Source organism: Homo sapiens, chromosome 19 (assembly GCF_000001405.40).
Source record: "Homo sapiens chromosome 19, GRCh38.p14 Primary Assembly".
Classification (NCBI taxonomy): domain Eukaryota; kingdom Metazoa; phylum Chordata; class Mammalia; order Primates; family Hominidae; genus Homo; species Homo sapiens.
The window spans coordinates 17430008-17449921 of NC_000019.10; the positions used below are offsets into that span (position 1 = coordinate 17430008).

The window sequence follows — 19914 nt, forward strand, 5'->3', positions numbered from 1 at the left end:
GGTCTCGCCCAGGCTCCTCTGGCGCCAGCCACAGAACCCGATCCAGCCAGAAAGCAAATGCCGTTTGTCCTCTCTGCCGTCCTTCTCAGCTGCCCCAAAAGCAGCCCCAGATCTCATTTCAGGGAGTCTGTGTGTGACCAGGGGCCTGAGGATGATCCATCCTGGCCTTGGGTCCAACTAGACCAATTGTCACTGATGACAGGGCCACTCACCCTGCAAAATCCCAGTCCTCTGAGCCCAGGCAGGCCTGGGGACTGCATCACGCAAGGGTTAGAGGGGCCCGATGGAGCCTACCCCACCTGCTTCTGACTTGGGTATCATCAATCCTAACATTTCTGGGCTGAGCTTACATCATCTTGGGCTACTGAGGAAGGAGCTGAGGGCCCTGGGAACCACAGCACTAAGTCCAGGATCCGTGCCTATCCTTCTCTTCTTTTATTATTATTATTATTTTTTGAGACCGGGTCTCACTCTGTGACCCAGGCTGGAGTGCAGTGGTGCGATCTCGGCAGCTCACTGCAACCTCCACCTCCCGGGTTCAAGTGATTCTCCTGCCTCAGCCTCCTGAGTAGCTGGGATTACAAGCATGAACCACTACACCCAGCTAATTTTTGTAGTTTTTGGTTTTTTTTTTTTTTTTTTTTTTTTTGAGACGGAGTCTCACTCTGTCGCCAGGCTGGAGTGCAGTGGAGCGATGTCGGCCCACTGCAACCTCCATCTCCCAGGTTCAAGCAATTCTCGTGACTCAGCCTCCCAAGTAGCTGGGACTACAAGTGCCCACCACCACGCCCAGCTAAATTTTTTGTTTGTTTGTTTTTGAGATGGAGTTTCATTCTTGTTGCCCAGGCTGGAGTGTGATGGTGCAGTCTCAGCTCACTGCAACCTCTGCCTCCTGGGTTCAAGCGATTCTCCTGCCTCAGCCTCCCTAGTAGCTGGGATTACAGGCGCCCACCACCACGCTCGGCTAATTTTTGTATTTTTGGTAGAGATGGGGTTTCACCATGTTGGTCAGGCTGGTCTCGAACTCCTGACCTCAAGTGATCCGCCCACCTCGGCCTCCCAAAGTGTTGGGATTACAGGTGTGAGCCACCGTGCCCGGTCCTTATTTCTGTATTTTTAGTAGAGATGGGGTTTCACCACGTTGGCCAGGCTGATCTTGAACTCCTGGCCTCAAGTGATCCACCCGCCTCGGTCTCCCAAAGTTCTGGGATTACAGGCATGAGCCAACATGCTGGCCTAATTTTTGTATTTTTAGTAGATATGAGGTTTTACTGTGTTGGTCAGGCTGGTCTGGAACAGCTGACCTCAAGCGATCTGCTCACATTGACCTCCCAAAGTGCTGGGATTACAGGTGTGAGCCACCATGCCTGGCCATTTCTCTTTTCTTGAGACAAGGTCTCACTCTGTTACCCAAGCTGGAGTGCGGTGGTGCAATCATGGCTCACCGCAGCCTTGACCTCCTGGGCACAATCTATCCTCCCATCTCAGTCTCCCTAGTAGCTGGAACTATAGGTGTGTGCCACCACACTTGGCTACATTTTTACTTTTGTAGAGATGGGGTCTTGCTATGTTGCCCAGGTGGGTTTCTCTCCTATTGCTTACTCCCAGGCTCCACAGGGGCATGGGTACTGAGAGTGGCATTTCTGGATAGACGTGATCCCAGCTCCTCTACTCAATAGCTGCTGACCTTGAGCTGCGGCTTAAACTTCTCTGCGCCTCAGTTTCTCCATCTTTACAATGGGAACCTCAACATTCCTCATCTCATGGGATACGTGTAAGGGAGAATGCATAGGACCCGTGTCTCTCAGCTGCCCCTGATGACTCTTGAAGAAACACCTCTTGACTCTGACAGGCCTTTGAAGGTGGAAGGTTTCTGCAGCCTGACATCCAGGCAGAATGGATGATGTGACTCCCCGTGAGTGGCCTCTGCTAGTGGCAAACCCTATACTTCCTGTATTCAAAAGTGGCAGAGGGGCTGGGCTCTGTGGCTCAGCCCTGTAATCCCATCACTTTGGGAAGCTGAGGTGGGAGGATCACTTGAGTCCAGGAGTTTGAGGCCAGCCTGGGCAACATAGGGAGACCCCAGTCTCTATAGTATTTTTTTTTTTTTCCAAGACAGAGTCTCCCTCTGTCACCCAGTCTGGAGTGCAGTGGTGTGATTGTGGTTCCCTGCAACTTCCATCTCTGGGGTTCAAGTGATTCTCCTGCCTCAGCCTCCTGAGTAGCTGGGACTACAGGCGCCCACCACCACCCCCGGCTAATTTCTTTTTTTTTTGACATGGAGTCTCGCTCTGTCGCCCAGGCTGGAGTGCAGTGGCGCAATCTTGGCTCACTGCAAGCTCCGCCTTTTGGGTTCATGCCATTCTCCTGCCTCAGCCTCTCAAGTAGCTGGGACTACAGGCGTCCGCCACCATGGCCAGCTAATTTGTGTGTGTGTGTGTATTTAGTAGAGATGAGGTTTCACCGCATTAGCCAGGATGGTCTCAATCTCCTGACCTCGTGATCTGCCCGCCTCAGCCTCCCACAAGTGCTGGGATTACAGGCGTGAGCCACGGCGCCCAGCCTAATTTCTTCCTTTCTTCCTTTCTTTCTTCCTTTCCTTTCTTTCCTTTCCTTTCTTTCATCTCTTTTTTCCTTTTCTTTCCTTTCTTTTCCTTCCTCCCTCCCTCCCTCCCTCTCTCTCTCTCTTTCTTTCTTTCTTTGTATTTTTAGTAGAGACGGTGTTTCACCTTGTTGGCCAGGCTGGTCTTGAACTCCCGACTTCAAGTGATCTGCCCGGTTCAGCCTCCCAAAGTGTTGGGATTACAGGTGTGAGCCACAGCGCCTGGCCATGACCAGCTAATTTTTGTATTTTTAGTAGAGATGGGGTTTTGCCATGTTGGCCAGGCTGGTCTTGAACTCCTAGCCTCAAGCAATCCGACTGCCTTGGCCTCCCAAAGTGCTAGGATTATAGGAGTGAGCCACTGTGCCCTGCCTACTTTTCTTTTAAACAGATAGGGTCTTGCTCTGTTGCCCAGGCTGGATCGTAGTGGTTCAATCACTGCTGATCTTCTTGCCTCAGCCTCTCAAGTAGCTGGGACCACAGGTGTGCACCACCATGCCTGGCTAATTTTTAATTTTTTTGTAGAGCTGGAGTCTCCCTATGTTGCCCAGGCTGGTCTTGAACTCCTGGCCTCAGGTGATCCTCTTGCAAGAGAACATCTTTGACAGATACTGTCCACACCCTAGAACATACCAGAATGCTGACAGAGCTTGTGTTTGCGAGGCCTGTGGAATTAATGGAGACATTTCTACCCTTTTCGACTGGGGCCTTGTGCCTATGGCTTGTTGGGTAGGGGAGATCACCTCCGTTTGTAAAGAACGAAACTGAGTTTGCATTACTGTTCCTTAAGGCAGGTCTGCCCAGCTCCCGGAACACTCTGAAAGCCGCACGCCAAACCCATATCAGGTGCCTGGAGTCTGGAGGTTTTGGCTGCAGCCCCAGGACCAGCCTTGCCCTGCGCCTCACCTGATTCTGGCTGAGATAGGAAGATGCTCGGTAACTCAGCTCCCCTTCCAGGCAGTGCAGACGAGGGGGCGGTTTTCAGCCGGGCCTCCCAAGTTGGAACCTTATCATTTCCAAGGTTCAAGTTTGAGGTATCAGGAGGAAGAGCAGGGACCAGCCTAGGGTGAGGTTGCTGAGGTGCCCAGGGTGCAATTTTTTATTTATTTTTATTTATTTATTTTTTGAGACGGAGTCTCGCTTTGTGCCCAGGCTGGAGAGGAGTGGTGCGGTCTTGGCTCACTGCAACCTCCGCCTCCCTGGCTTAAGTGATTCTCCTGCCTCAGCGTCCCGAGTAGCTGGGATTACAGGCACCCACCACCATGTCCAGCTAATTTTCTGTATTTTTTTTTTTTTTTTTGTGGGGGACGGAGTCTTGCTCTGTAGCCCAGACTGGAGGGCAGTGGCACAATCTCAGCTCACTGCAGCCTCCACCTCCTGGGTCCCGGTTCAAGCGATTCTCCCGCTTCAGCCTCCCAAGTAGCTGGGATTACTGGCATGCGTCACCATGCCCATCTAATTTTTGTATTTTTAGTAGAGACAGGGTTTCACCAAGTTGGCCAGGCTGGTCTTGAACTCCTGACCTCGTGATCTGCCCACCGTGGCCTCCCAAAGTGCTGGGATTACAGGCATGAGCCACTGCGCCGGCCTTGCTTTATTTTTGTGTGTGTGGGAGGGAGCATGGTGGCACACCCCTGTAATCCCAGCTACTGGGTGGCTGTGGTAGAATTGTTTGAGCCTGGGAGTTCGAGACCAGCCTGGGCAATATAGCAAAACACCATCTCTACAAAAATAAAAAATACAAAGATTAACCAGGTGTGGTGGTGCATGCCTGCAGTCCCAGCTACTCTGGATGCTGAGTCAGGAGGATCACTTGAGCCCAGGAGTTTGAGGCTGCAATGAGCTATGATCACAACACTGCATTCCAGCCTGGGTGATAGAGCAAACCCCTCTCTTTAAAAAAAAAAAAAAAATTAAAAATGTGTTGAGGTGAAAAATCACATTAACATAAAATTAACCATTTAGAAGTATACAATTCAGGCCAGGCGTGGTGGCTCACGCCTGTAGCACTTTGAGGGGCCAAGGTGGATGGATCATTTGAGGTCAGGAGTTCGAGACCAGCTGGCCAACATGGTAAATCACCATCTCTACTAAAAATGTAAAAACTATCCAGGCATGATGGCCCTTGCCTGTAGTCCCAGCTACTTGGGAGGCTGAGGCAGGAGAATCACTTAAAACAGGGAGGCGGAGGTTGCAGTGAGCCAAGATCGCGCCACTGCACTCCAGCCTAGGCGACAGAGTGAGACTCTGTCTCAAAAGCAAACAAACAAAAAATGTAAAAACTAGCCGGGCATGGTGGCCCTTTCCTGTAGTCCCAGTTACTTGGGAGGCTGAGGCAGGAAAATCGCTTGAACCCGGGAGACGGAGGTGGCAATGAGCCAAGATTGGGCCATTGCACTGCAGCCTGGGCCACAAGAGCAAAACTCCATCTCAAAAAAATTTTAAAAAGGCCAGGAGCAGTGGCTCACACCTGTAATTCCAGCACTTTGGGAGGCCGAGGCAGGGGATCACTTGAGGTCAGGAGTTCGAGACCAGCCTGGCCAACATGGTGAACCCGTCTCTACTAAACATATAAAAATTAGCCAGGCATGGTGGTGGGTGCCTGTAATCCCAGCTACTCAGGAGGCTGAGGCCGGAGAATCGCTTGAACTTGGGAGACGGAGGTTGCAGTGAGCCGAGATTGTGCCACTGCACTCCAGCCTGGGAGACAGAGCAAGACTCTGTCTCAAACCAAAACCAAAACCAAACAAAACTAACTGGTGGAGCATGCGTCCCAGCCTGGGGACTACAAGGGGCATGGCCTGGCTCTCACTTTTGCCCTTCCTTCCCCCGACCCAAGTCCCACCCATGGGCCTGGGCTTGGCCACGCAGCACAATTGAACATTGAGTAACACACAGATAGTGAATATCAGAGTTTACTTGTGGGTTGTGCAAGACAGGAGACCTTTGGAGACCCCTCTGTTATTTCCTTGAGCCCCAGAAACTACCCATGCCTACACCCCAAAAGCAGCAGCAGCATGAGAACGATTAACACACATTGAGGACCTATTGTGTGGGGGTCCCCGGAATGCCTCACATGAAGTCATGTGTCTTGTCAGAGCCCTTGGAGACAGGGCCACTTCGTGTCCCCATATTACAGATGAGGAAACTGAGGCACAAAGCAGCTAAGCCCTCAGCCATGGGTCCACAGCCAGGAACCTGGGTCCAGCTCTCCAGCCGTGCCCCTGGCCCTGGGCTGCTCCAAGCTTGGCACACATGGATTTGAAATGTTCACAGCCCGAGGGGGTGCAGTGGATTTTGCAGAGTCTGAGACTTGCACATCAGCAGCATGGAGATTATGGGGTTCAGGTGAGAATCCTGGCTCTGGTGCTCAGTCCTGGCCGTGGGCCCCCTGGTGAGTCACTGCCTCTCTTGGGGCCTCCGTTTCCTCATCTGTGAAATGGATGGAGACACTTAGAGAATCACTGCCTAAGCCCCCCGCTCCCCTTATGCCTGTAACAGAATCTCATCCATCTGGACAGCCACATTTCCCAGCCTCCCCTGCAGCAAGGTATGGCCATTTCGCTCTGTTCTGGCCAGTGGGATATAAAAAGAAGGGTTTCGAGGCTTCCTGGGAAGACTTCCAGGAGACACCTAGCCAGCGCTGGCCTCTGACTTTCCCTCAGAATGAGGAGGTGAAGGCTGGAGCTCTGGCAATTATTTTGTGCCACGAGGCAACCTTGAGGACAAAAGCCAAGGATGCAATAAAATGAGAGAAAAATCAAGTCCTACTGCTACTGCAGCTGAACCCGAACCTATCTCTATGGTATCCTTTTCTTACACCAGGTCTCTATTCCTCATCCCTGGGCTCACACCAGTGTGGAGTCCTTCCCCATGCTCCCTGGTCTGTGGCCCAGCATTCGACGCATCTCGTGCGTAACCCCGTCCCAGTGCCCCAGGCCAGCCGACAGTGTCCGGTGCATTCTGGATGCAGGCAGGCTGCTCTCCCAGCCTCCCTCCAGGGCTGCAGGTGCTGTGGCAGTGGCCATGGACCCAAAGGGGTCCCCAGGCTCTGGACAGGTTGAATAGGGGGTCCGACGATGGATACCCTGCTGAGGCTGAGCTCTGGGGCTGGCCTTGGAGACTTCGGCAGGGCGGGCGAGGTCGTCTTCAAAGGATGGCGGGGACAACTCATGGAGCCCACGGCGGGCAGCCCGGGCAGCCCGGAGGAGAGTGTGGGTCAGCACAGCCACCAGAACCAGGGTGCCCGAGCCGAGGATGGAAGCAGCTGCTGCGCCTGTCTCGATCTCGAAAAGTAGCAAGGCATAGATGGACAGTGCTAGGGAAGGAAACGACTCTCATTTATTCAGTCAACAAACATTTGCCCTCCAAGCCCTCAGGGAGTTCTTGCACACAGGGAGAAATTACGAAAAGCCCTGCCACATGACAGGCACATAGAATAGGCATTTAATCCTCCCACATCCCACTCGTGCATCATCATCACATCCATTTTACAGAGAAGAAAGCTGGGGCCCAGAGAGGTTAGGGGACTCCTCAAAGCCACACAGCCAGGAAGTGACAGAGGTGGGATTTTAACCCAGGCTGGTGGGCTCCAGAGTCTGTGCTCTGAAGCACAGTGCTGCCTCCGAAGGAGACAACAGAAAGAGACTAATTTCAGCAGCTGTGGGCCAGGGCTTCCCTGAGGAGGAGCTATTTGAGCTGAGACCCTGGGGAAGAAGCAGCAGTTTTTGGGAGAGCTGAGGAGGATGACAGCTGCAGGGACATGGCAAGTGCAGAGGTCCTGAGGTGGAAACACCCAAGAGTGTCCGAGGCTCAGAAAAAAGCAAAACGGGTTCTGGCCGGGCTCAGTGGCTCACGCCTATAATCCTAACACTTTGGGAGGCTGAGGCAGGTGGATCACTTGAGGTCAGGAGTTTGAAACCAGCCTGTGCAACATGGTAAAACCCTGTCTCTACAAAAAATACAAAAATTAGCTGGGCATCGTGGCGGGCGCCTGTAATCCCAGCTCCTCAGGAGGCTGAAGCAGGAGAATTGCTTGAGCCTGGGAGATGGAGGCTGCAGTGAGCCGAGATCGCACCACTGCACTCCAGCCTGGGTGACAGAGTGAGACTCAGTCTGAACAAAAAGAAAAGAAAAAAGAAAAATGGGTTGTGTAGCTGGAGCAGAAAGGTGGAGAGGTGGGGGAGAGATGGAGGAGTTAAGGAAGGAGTGGATGTTGGGGACCAGATGAGGGTGGGGGCCACAGAAAGGGGTGTGGGTCTTCTCCTTCTTCTCCTTCTTCTTCTTTTTCTTCTTGTTCTTGTTCTTGTTCTTCTTTTTTTTTTTTTGAGACAGGGTCTTGCTCTGTCACCCAGGTTGGAAGGCAGTGGCTCGGCTACAGCTCACTGCTGCCTCAACCTCCCCAGGCTCAGGTGATTCTCCCACCTCAGCCTCCTGAGTAGGTGGGACTACAGGTGCATGCCACCATGCCTGGCTAATTTTTTTTTTTTTTTTTTTTGAGACAGAATCTTGCTCTGTCACCCAGGCTGGAGCACAGTGGTGTGACCTCTGTTCACTGCAACCTCTGCTTCCCGGGTTCAAGCGATTCTCATGCCTCAGCCTCCCAAGTAGCTGGGATTATAGGCACCCACCACCACGCCAGCTAATTTTTGTATTTTTAGTAGAGACAGGGTTTCACTATGTTGGCCAGGCTGGTCTTGAACTCCTGACCTCAGGTGATCCGCCCACCTTGGCCTTCCAAACTGCTGGGATTACAGGCATGAGCCACTGGGCCCAGCCTGATTTTTGTATTTTTAGTAGAAACGGGGTTTCGCCTTGTTGCCCAGGCTGGTCTCCAATTCCTGAGCGCAAGTGGTCCTCTAGCCTTGGCCTGCCAAGAGGGCTGGGATTACAGGCGTGAGCCACTGTGTCCTACCGGGTTTTCTTCTAAGAGCAATGAGTAGGGGGATTTTGGAGCTGGGGAGGAACAGGACCTACCTGCTCTATCTTTTTTTTTTTTTTTTTTTGAGACTGAGTTTTGCTCTTGTTGCCGAGGCTGGAGTGCAGTGGCACAATCTCAGCTCACTGCAACCTCTGCCTCTCGGGTTCAAGCAATTCTCCTGCCTCAGCCTCTTGAGTAGCTGGGATTATAGGCATGCACCACCATGCCTGGCTAATTTTGTATTTTTAGTAGAGACAGGGGTTTCACCATGTTGGTCAGGCTGGTCTCGAACTCCTGACCTCAGGTGATCCACCTGCCTCGGCCTCCCAAAGTGCTGGGATTACAGGCATTAGCCACTGCGCCCGACACCTGCTCTATCTCTTAAGAAGCCTCCCTTGCCGGGCACGGTGGCTCACACCTGTAATCCCAGCACTTTGGGAGGCCGACGTGGGCGGATCACAAGGTCAGGAGATCGAGACCATCCTGGCTAACACGGTGAAACCTCATCTCTGCTAAAAATACAAAAAATTAGCCGATCGTGGTGGCGGGCGCCTGCAGTCCCAGCTATTCAGGAGGCTGAGGCAGGAGAATGGCGTGAACCTGGGAGGCGGAGCTTGCAGCGAGCCGAGATCACGCCACTGCACTCCAGCCTGGGTGACAGAGCGAGACTCCATCTCAAAAAAAAAAAAAAAGCCTCCCTGTTGGTGGAATACCCATATGAGGGAATATGATGCAGCATGTAAGGAATGAGGCACCGCTCCATTCTACAATGTGGATGAACCAGGAAAACATCGTTCTGAGTGAGAGAAGCCAGATGCAAATAGCCACAGAGTGTGAGGTGTCATTGATCTGAAATGTCCAGAACAGGCAAATCCTGGCCGGGCGCAGTGGCTCATGCTTGTAATCCCAGCACTTTGGGAGGCCGAGGTGGGTGGATCACCTGAAGTCAGGTGTTGGAGACCAGCCTGGCCAACATGGTGAAACCCTGTCTCTACCAAAAATATAAAAAGTAGCCAGGTGTGGTGGCACGTGCCTGTAATCCCAGCTACTTGGGAGGCTGAGGCAGGAGAATCGCTTGAATCTGGGAGGTGGAGATTGCAGTGAGCCGAGATCGCGCCGCTACCCTCTACCCTGGGCAACAGAGCAAGACGCTGTCTCGAGAAAAAAGAAAAAAAAAAAAATACAAGCAAATCCATAGAGACAGACAGTAGATTAGTGGCTTCCAGGGATGAGGAAGGGGCAATGGGGAGTGATTGCTAATGGAGACAGGGTTTCCTGTTGGGTGATGAAAATATTCTGGAACCAGATAGTAGCGATCGTTGCCTAAGACCGTGAATGTGCTCAATCCCACTGAACTGTTCACTTTAAAGTGGGTAACGGCTGGGCGAGGTGGCTCACACCTGTAATCCCAGCACTTTTGGAAGCCGAGGTGAGAGGTTGCTTGAGGCCAGGAGTTCGACGCCAGCTCAGGTGACATAGGGAGACCAGTCCCTACAAAAAATAAGAAACTATCGAGGAATGGCAGTGCTTGCCTACGGTCCCAGCTAGCTGCGGGGCTGAGGCAGAAGAATTGCTTGAGCCTAGGACATGGAGGCTGCAGTGAGCTATGATCACACCACTGCACTCCAGCCTGGGTGACACAGCGAGACCCTGTCTCAAAAAATGGAAATAAAATACACTGGTTAAAATGGTATTTTTTTTTTTTTTTTTTTTTTGAGATGGAATCTCGCTCTGTCACCCAGGCTGGAGTGCAGTGGCGCAATCTCGGCTCACTGCAAGCTCTGCCTCCCGGGTTCACGCCATTCTCCTGCCTCAGCCTCCCGAGTAGCTGGGACTACAGCCGCCCGCCACCACACCCGGCTAATTTTTGTATTTTTAGTAGAGATGGGGTTTCACCTTGTTAGCCAGGATGGTCTCGATCTCCTGACCTCGTGATCTGCCCGCCTCGGTCTCCCAAAGTGCTGGGATTACAGGCGTGAGCCACCGCGTCCGGCCTAAAATGGTAATGTTTTTGTTATGTGTACTTTGCCACAGTGAAACTGCAACTTAACTGGGTATGGTGGTGTACACCTGTAGTCCCAGCTACATGGATTGGGAGACTGAGGCAGGAGGATTGCTTGAGCCAGGAGTTCAAGTCCAGCCTGGGCTACATAGCAAGACCCTGTCTCTAAACAAACAAAACCAGAAACACCCCCAGCAACTCAGCTCTCAGGGTCCTGCATCTCTGTCTGTCTCTGCCTGGGGTGGGGGTGAGGGTCAAGGTGGAGGAGCCAGCCTCTGCTCTCTACTCTCTGGTGCCCACAGGTTTGCCACGCCCCAGGCTTGGGGGGCATTGAGAGATTCACAACCCCTCTCTGGCCTCAGTTAGCCAATGTGAATAAGAAGGGACCTTGAGGGACCGGGCGTGGTGGCTCACGCCAGTAACCCCAGCACTTTGGGAGGCCGAAGTGGGCGGATCACTTGAGGCCAGGAGTTTGAGACCAGCCTGGCCAACATGATGAAACCCCGTCTCTGCTAAAAATACAAAAATTAGCTGGGCGTGCTGGTGGGCTCCTGTAATCCCAGGTACTTGGGAGGCTGAGGGAGGAGAATCGCTTGAATCTGGGAGGTGGTGGTTGCAGTGAGCTGGGATCACTCTACTGCACTTCAGCCTGGGCAACAGAGCAAGACTCCATCTCAGAGAAAAAAAAAAAAAAAAAAGAAGGGACTTTGAGGACCTGAGCTAGCTAGCCCTCCATCAGCCTCTCCAGCATACAGTTGGCACCATTCTTAGTGGTGGTGCATCGTAGGACGTTTAGCAGCTTTTACCCACTAGATGTCAGTAGCATCCCACCCTCAACTCTGTGGCGACCACCAAAAATGTCTCCAGGCAGTGACAAAAGTTCCTCTGAGGCCAGAATCAGTCTCAGTGGAGAATCCCTGGTTTGGTCCCTATCTCTACACTGCAGAGTGGATTTGGGATCACTAAGCCACTTTGGCATCAATGATGTCCTCATTGGACCAAGCTCAGCCAATCAGAGCATTAATTGCTTCCCCTGATGTTAGTGATTGGTGGAGGAATATTACATGGCCCAAGCTCAGCCTATCAGAGTCAGCCCTGAGACTTTAGCCTGGGCTACTGGGACAGATAGATTTTCCTGCAGCGTCTAGGGTATTGGTAGGAGAGGGGCCCAGAACACATGGGGGACTTTTTTTTTTGGCACTTTCCAGGCTGTTTATACGCGTTCTCTGGCTCTGTACTATTGCTTTGGAAGATATCACACTGCATGATGTCCCACATGTGAAAGCAAGGCCAAGGACTTTTTTTTTTTTTTTGGCTGGAAACATTTTGAAAGGGATTTTGTAATTATTCTTTTAGTTCTAGCTAGCGATGAATGGATGATTGGTTGGATGTGCTTGGGAATTCTTGCTGAATGAGGTCACCTAGCCTCAAAAACAATCTAAATGGGAGGTGAATGAATTCTCAATTTTACGCTTAGTGAGGCTGACATAATGTTACCTTTTTTTTCCTTTTGTAATTGTTCTTGTATTTTAGAATGAGGATATCTTATTCCCTAGGTCTTTAATATTTCTGTTGGCCTGTGCAAAGACTCAAGGCTCCAGGCATCGTGTCAAAAGTGCTTACAGATAGAGGCATCTTTCTCAGAGAGAAGCCCATTCAGGGAACAGCAGATGAACAGGTGAAGTGACAAGCATTTCTGTTTCTTTTTTCTTTTATTATTATTATTATTATCAACAACATCATTTTTGAGACAGAGTCTCACTCTGTCACCCAGGCTGTGCAATGGCACAATCTCGGCTCACTGCAACCTCCGCCCCCTGGGTTCAAGCGATCCTCCTGCCTTCAGCCTCCTGAGTAGCTGGGTCTACAGGCATGAACCACCATGCCTGGCTAATTTCTTTCTTTTCTTTCTTTTTTTTTTTTTTTTAGATGGCATCTCACTCTGTCGCCCAGGCTGGAGTGCAGTGGCATGATCTTGGCTCAGTGCAACCTCTGCCTCCCAGGTTCAAACAATTCTCCTGCCTCAGCCTCTGGAGTAGCTGGGATTACAGGGGTATGCCACAATGTTTGGCTAATTTTTGTATACTTAGTAGAGATGGAGTTTCACCATGTTGCCCAGGCTGGTCTCAAACTCCACCTCAAGTGATCCACTCGCCTCGGCCTCCCAAAGTGCTGGGATTACAGGTGTGAGCAACCACACCCGGCTGAGAGGCATTTCTGATAACCTAATTTGAGTGCCTGGATCCAGCCACACCTGAAGCCAACTTCCCCTGACAATTTCAGATGCACAAGTCATCCATCCCTTCTCCTTTTTTTAAAAAAAAAACTACTTCTGGAGCATTTCATTAAGTCAAACAACAAAAGTTATGCAGTGTTCCGTGCACTTCACATATATAAATTCCCACAGTGAGCCTTAGGCTCACATCTCATTAAAAATATTTTGAGGGCCTGGCGTGGTGGCTCAGGGCCGGGCGTGGTGGCTCACGCCTGTAATCCCAGCACTTTGGGAGGCCGAGGTTGGTGGATCACCTGAGGTCAGGAGATCGTAGACCATCCTGGCTAACACGGTGAAACCCCGTCTCTACTAAAAATACAAAAAATTAGCTGGGCGTGGTGGTGGGCACCTGTAGTCCCAGCTACTCAGGAGGCTGAGGAAGAAGAGTGGCATGAACCCAGGAGGCGGAGCTTGCAGTGAGCCGAGATCACACCACTGCACTCCAGCCTGGGCGACAGAGCGAGACTCCGCATCAAAAAAAATTTTTTTAATATATCTTTTTAAACATTTATTTATTTATTTATTTATTTATTTATTGAGATGAAGTTTCAGTCTGTCACCCAGGCTGGAGTGCAGTTGCACGATCTTGGCTCTCTGAAACCTCCACCTCTCAGGTTCAAGTGATTCTCCCACCTCAGTCTCCCGAGTAGCTGGGATTACAGGCAGCTGCCACCAGGCCCAGCTAATTTTTTTGAATTTTTAATGGTGGGGTGGGGGGGCGGTTTCAGCATATTGGCCAGGCTGGTCTTGAACTCCTACCCTCAAGTGATTCACCCACTTTGGCCTCCCAAAGTGCTGGGATTATAGGCATGAGCCACCGCGCCCGGCCTAAATATCTTTTTAAATTTCTATTTTCTGTGGTGGGACTATGAAAAAAAAACAGTAATAGCAAATCCTGTTTTTCATTCAGTAGGATATTTTTTCTTCCTGTAAAACAGATTGTTTACAGGGCTGGCAGGGACTTATATATGATTCAGCATTGAGTCCGCAGCATCATCAACACATTTGTTTCAAGATTAAAACCAAATATAAGGCGTTAGGAGTCTCTTGAAAGACACTTAATGATTTCATTCCTTTACCAGCCCGGATGGATGAAAGAAAGTTGATTGAAGAAAAGTTATTACAAATCAGGAAGGAAGGACAGTGTGATGCGTTCCAGCATCTGGGGTATCCTTTTTTTTTTTTTTCTCAAGCCATTTTTGAGCTGGAGATTGATATTTGTAACCAAAACAGCTTTCACTCATTCCAACCTGTAAAATGCTATCTTTTTTTTTTTTTTTTTTTTTTTTTTTGAGACGGGGTTTTGCCCTTGTTGCCCAGGCTGGAGTGCAGTGGCACGATCTTGGCTCACTGCAACCTCTGCCCCCTGGTTCAAGTGATTCCCCTGCCTCAGCCTCCTGAGTGGCTGATATTATAGGCGCCCACCACCATGCCCGGCTAATTTTTTTGTATTTTTAGTAGAGATGGGGTTTCACCATGTTGGCCAGGCTGGTATCAAACTCCTGACCTCAGGTGATCCACCAGCCTCGGCCCCTCAAAGTGCTGGGATTACAGGCGTGAGCCACTGCGCCTGGCCAAAATGCTATCTTTAGACACCACGCAGGCCATGAAAATTTTTGTTCAAACAAATTATAAAACTGATGAATCAGAAGTGTTCTGATGACAGCTAGCATTTGTGGAGTCCCTGCTGGAGTCAGATGCCATCCACGGGCTTTTTTTTTTTTTTTTTTTTAATGAGATAGGGTCTCGCTGTATCACCCAGGCTGGAGTGCAGTGCAGTGGGGTGATCATGGCTCACTGCAGCCTCAACCTTCGGGCTCAAGTGATCCTCCCACCTTAGCCTCCCGAGGAGCTGGGACTACAGGTGTGTACCACCACACCAAGTCTATATATAGATATATAATATATAAATATAAATATATTATATAAATATATATTAATATAAACATATAAATATAAATATATATTTATATATTTAATAAATATATATTATATATATATATAGTTTTTTTTTTTTTTGTAGAGATGGGGTTTTGTTATGTTGCCCAGGCTGGTCTCAAACTCCTGGCCTCAAGCAATCCTCCTACCTCAGTCTCCCATATTGCTGGGATTACAGATGTGAGCTACTATGCCTGGTCCTATGGGCTTTCATGAGGATTAAATCTCAGAATCTCCTCAAGTGATTCTGTGAGGTAATGACAGTTATTCCCATTGTACTGATGAGGAAATCAAGGCACAGAGAGACTTTGCCCAAGGCACCAAAGCAAAGAAGTGTCAGAGCCTGGAGTTGAACTCAAGGAGGCTGTCTGCAGAGTTGATCCCAGTTAGGGGACCATTGCTGCTCTCTACCCAGCCCAGGGTCCCATGCCCCACGTTCTATTCCAGCACACACCTGCTAAATAGACGGAGATCCCACAGCAGAAAAGGCCAAGGGCCACATGTCTGAGGAGGCGGCAGTCGTAGAGAAACCAGTCAGACCTGGAATGAAGGGGAGCAGGAAGATAAAGGGTTCAGGAAGTGGAGCTGGTGGGGGGAGGTCAGTGAGGACAGGGAGGGAGAGCCGCTTAAATGAGACAAGGACCCAGCTTTCAGGGACCCAAAATCTATGTGAGTACCTAACCATCATCCATCTACTTGCCCACCCATTTACATCCATTTACTTATCCACTCTCCATCTATCCATCAATTCATCCATCAGCTCATGTATCCATCAGCCCATCCATCCATCTATCCACCCATTTATCCATTCATCCATTCATCCATTTATCCACCCATTCACCCATTTGTCCACTCATCCATCCATCCACCCATCCATCCATATGCCCATTCATCCATCCACCCACTTACCCATCCATCCATCCATCCATTTATCCATTCATCCATTCATCCACCCATTCATCCATCTGTCCACTTATCCATCCACCCATCCATCCATCCATACTTCCACTCATCCATCCATCCACTTATCCATCCATCCATTCACTTATCCATCCATCAAACCAGTCATCCATCCACTCATTCATTCATCCATCCACTTATCAATTCATTCATCCATCCACTTATCCATCCATCGGCCCCACCCATTCATCCATCCATACAATCATTTAGATATCCACCATCCACTATCTGATATCTATCCATTTATCTATGCTCCATCCATCCACACATCCATTTTTCCAAGTCAGTGTCCACCATCCATTTACCATTCATATTCATTGATTATTTGACCAGCACTCATATACAGCCTTCCATCCATTTAACCATGTGCTATTCATCCATCCATCCATTCATTTAAACACCCTCTGCTATCCTATCTATCCATCCCTCACCCACCCATCCACTGGTCATCCATCTTCCATTCACTATCCATCCACCCCTCATCCATCCATCCATCCATCTATCCATCCATCCATTCATCCTTCCTTACTTCGATCCATCCACCATCCATTCTCTTTCCCCTATAACCCATCTATATGCATGAGTCCACTCAAACACTCAACACTCAGGATGCAGCTACTATGTGCAGATACTTGCTACACACCTGGCTTCCATTATTTTACAGACTACAAGCTTCTTTGAGAGATGAGGAAACTGAGTTTCACATGCTGTTATTGATGATACAAACCGCGACCCCAAGAGGTGAGACTGATTGAGGAGGAAGTGGAGGCTATAAGAGCTTCCATCCTCACTCAGCTCCCACCAGTATAATGAAAGTGGACGCCTTCCCCATCTTCCTGTCGCCTTCCCTCCTGTCCCCTTTTCAGCACAGTGGCTAGAGGTGGTCATTCAAAACCTAAATCAGATCACCTTCCTCCTTACTCACAACCCTCCTTAGCAGAAGAAATCCCAAAGTCCTATCTCCTCTCTATCCCATCTCTCTGTTTCCTTTCCTTCTCAGCACTCATTACCATCTGCTATTATTATTATTATTAGAGATGAGGTCTCACTATGTTGCCCAAACTAGAGTGCAGTGGTTATTCATAAGCATGATCATGGCTCACTGCAGCCTTGACCTCCTGGGCTCAAGGGATCCTCTTGCCTCAGCCTCTTAAGTGTATGGGACTACAGGCATGCACCACCACACCTAGCTAATTATTATTTTTTCTTTTTGTAGAGGCAAGGTCTTGCTATATTACCCAGGCTGGTCTCAAATTCCTGGCCTCCCAGCACTTTGGGAGGCCAAGGTGGGTGGGTCATTTGAGGTCAGGAGTTCAAGACCAGCCTGGCCAACATGGTGAAACCCCGCCTCTACTAAAAATACAAAAATTAGCTGGGTATGGTGGTGGGCACCTGTAATCCCAGCTACTCGGGAGGCTAAGGTGGGAGAATCGCTTGAACCCAAGAGGTGGAGGCTGCAGTGAACCGAGATAGCGCCACTGCACTCCAGCCTGGGTGACAGAGCAAGACTCTGTCTCAAAAAAAAAAAAAGAAAAAAAAATTCCTGGCCTCAAATGATCCTCCTGCCTCTGCCTCCCAAAGGGCTGGGATTGCAGGTGTGAACCACCATGCCTTGTCCTTGTTATGTTTCCTTATTTTCTGTGACCCCATGAGAGCAGGTCTGGGTCCACTTGGTCCCCGCTGTCTCTGATGCCCTGAGCCAGATCCATTCCCCTGCAGGCAGGCACCCAACAGATGTTTGCTGACCCGTGGGACCCATGCATTTCATTGTCCCTTGGGTGGAAGGTGCATGGTCTGGATAGGATCTACCTCAATGGTGGGAGTTCTCATCTGCTCAATTTCACAGAATTCTGGACTAGAATTTGGGCTCCTCTCCCCCGACATTCTGGAGAGAAACACTACCATGTGGGACAGCGGAGTCCTCAGCTCAAGGAGGGTTCCTCCTTCCACAACCACTGCCCCTGATAGGGGTCCCTCAATGACCACATCCCTGACTGAGTTCAGGTCCCTGAGGAAGGAACTCAATTTCAGACCAGGACACAGGCTCTGGCTGGCTCTACCCAGAACCAAGTTCAAGTCCAGCACTGTCCCGCCTCCCACCCACTTCCAAGCCAGACAGCCTGAGAGCTCAGCCTCCCCTGTTTGAGATCCAGGCAAGCTGATCCTGGACCCTCTTTGAGCCTCAGTTTCCTCATCTGCAAAATGCGAGACACAGCAGTGGTTGCACCTGCTGCAAAATTGAACAAATATAGAATGGAGGGAGGGAAGGAGGGAGGAGGAGAGGAAAGGAGGGAGGCAGAGAGACATGGAGTGGTGGGGAGAGGGAAGTGGGGAGGGAAGCTGTCCCCCCAGCCTGAGGCCAAAAGAGGGGAAGAGGCTCAACCAGGCTCACCCAGCCCCCAGCCGGGCCTCCGAGGCGGTGAGGCCAGTCCTCCTACCTCCTGGGGCCAGGCCCCCGCGCCAGCTCGGCGCCCAGGTGGCCACAGAGCGCGGCGAGCAGCAAGCAGGTGAACCCCAGCACGAGCACCAGCGCGGCCAGCGCGGCGGCCAGCGGCAGCAGCGTCCCGGCCGCGTCCTCTGGCAGCCCGGGGCCGGCGCCCAGCTCCTGGCCCAGCCCCTCGGCGCGCAGCCCCCGCAGCTCGGCGCGGCCCGCCTGCAGCTGAAACAGCAGCTGCGCGCCCAGCGCCGCCAGCACGGCCGCCGCGATGCCCAGCAGGGTCATTGCAGCCAGCACCCGGCCGCCGTAAGAACGGGCCATGGCGGGGGTTCCTGCGGGCCGGGGGAAGAGTTGAGGAATTGAAGTGGTTTTAGAGGGCAGGGGAGTTGGGGGGAATCCGAGGGTCCTCAGGGGGTCCCCGAGGGGGCGGGGCCGCAGGGAGTGTCTGAAAGTTCGGGGACTGGGCTGGGGGTCGCCAGACGGACGGGGGCTCCGGGGTGCTGGTCGCAGCCGGGACGCCGAATCTCCGCGAAAACTTGGGACAAAGTCTTTTCTCCTCCCTCCCGGGGCCCCGCGGGCGCCCCCTCTTGGTCCGCTGGGCCTGGCGGGGCGGGGCCTGGCACCGGGCGCAGGGCGGGGAGGCCCCACTAGGGACTGGATCGCGGGAACCCCACAGCTCGCTAAGTTCAGAAAAGGGCACCACCCCGCCCCCTGCCGCCCTAAGCATCGATTGTATTGTGGTTTAAAACAAGAAAAAGGAGGCCGGGGGCGGTGGCTCTCGCCTGTAATCCCAGCACCTTGGGAGGCCGAGGCGGGCGGATCACAAGGTCAAGAGTTCCAGACCAGCCTGGCCAATATGGTGAAACCCCGTCTCTACTAAAAATACAAAAATTAGCCGGGCGTGGTGGCCGGAGCCTGTAATCCCAGCTACTCGGGAGGCTGATGCAGGAGAATTGCTTGAACCCAGGAGGCGGAGGTTTCAGTGAGCTGAGATTACGCCATTGCACTGCAGCCTGGGCGACAGAGCGAGACTCCGTCTCAAAATTAATTAATTAATTAATTAAAAAATAAAAAATAAAGAGAAAGGAGGCCGGGCGCGGTGGCTCTCGCTTGTAATCTCAGCACTTTAGGAGTCCGAGGTGGGCGGATCACTTGAGGTCAGGAGTTCAAGACCAGCCTGGCCAACATGGTGAAACCCCCGTCTCTACTAAAAAAAAAAAAAAAAAAAAAAATTAGCCCGGCGTAGTGGTGCATGGCCTGTAATCCTAGCTACTCGGGAGGCTGAGGTTGGAGGAATGCTTGAATCAGGGAGGCGGAGGTTGCAGTGAGCCGAGATTGCACCACTGCACACTCCAGCCTGGCTGACAGAGTAAGACTCCATCAAAAAAAAAAAAAAAAAAAAAGAGAGAGAGAGAGAAAGGGCTGGGTGAGGTGGTTCACAACTGTAATCCCAGCACTTTGGGAGGCTGAGGCAGGAGGATGGCTTAAGCCCAGGAGTTTGAGACCAGCCTGGGCAACATAGCCAGACCCCATCTCTACAAAAAATAAGGAAGTCAGCCTGGTGTGGTGGTGCACGCCTGTGGACCCAGCTACTTTCGGGACTGAGACAGGAGGATCGCTTGAGCCCAGGAGGTCGAGGCTGCAGTGAACTGAGATCACGCCACTGCACTCCAGCCTGAGTGACAGAGCGAGGCTGTGTCTCAAAAAAGAAATAACAAAATTTAAAAATTCACTTTTCATTTGATCTCAACCCAGGGACTCTGTCATTGGCTGTGATTTC

General features: G+C 51.2%; 1 protein-coding gene across 2 annotated transcripts, besides 2 other annotated features; it reads right to left on the reverse strand.

The window, feature by feature from the left end:
• Nucleotides 1-5501: 5501 nt before the first annotated feature.
• On the reverse strand, nt 5502-18661 carry TMEM221 (transmembrane protein 221). 2 transcript variants are annotated; one of them, XM_011527603.3, is made up of 4 exons: nt 18136-18661; nt 15192-15277; nt 6690-6920; nt 5502-6034 (listed from the first exon to the last, which is right to left on the reverse strand). In XM_011527603.3, the coding sequence occupies exons 1-4, from the start codon at nt 18453-18455 to the stop codon at nt 5973-5975; spliced, it is 699 nt and encodes a 232-aa protein (XP_011525905.1). In that variant the 5' UTR covers nt 18456-18661; the 3' UTR covers nt 5502-5972. The 2 variants fall into 2 exon arrangements, with proteins under 2 accessions (XP_011525905.1, NP_001177773.1); NM_001190844.2 differs by having other exon boundaries at nt 5502-6920.
• Nucleotides 11313-11362: a silencer, noted in NCBI's record as "silent region_10345". NCBI's record gives its function as "represses an Ori minimal core promoter by ATAC-STARR-seq in GM12878 lymphoblastoid cells {active_cell/tissue: GM12878}" and the evidence as "EXISTENCE:reporter gene assay evidence [ECO:0000049][PMID:35858748]".
• Nucleotides 18675-18794: a silencer, noted in NCBI's record as "silent region_10346". NCBI's record gives its function as "represses an Ori minimal core promoter by ATAC-STARR-seq in GM12878 lymphoblastoid cells {active_cell/tissue: GM12878}" and the evidence as "EXISTENCE:reporter gene assay evidence [ECO:0000049][PMID:35858748]".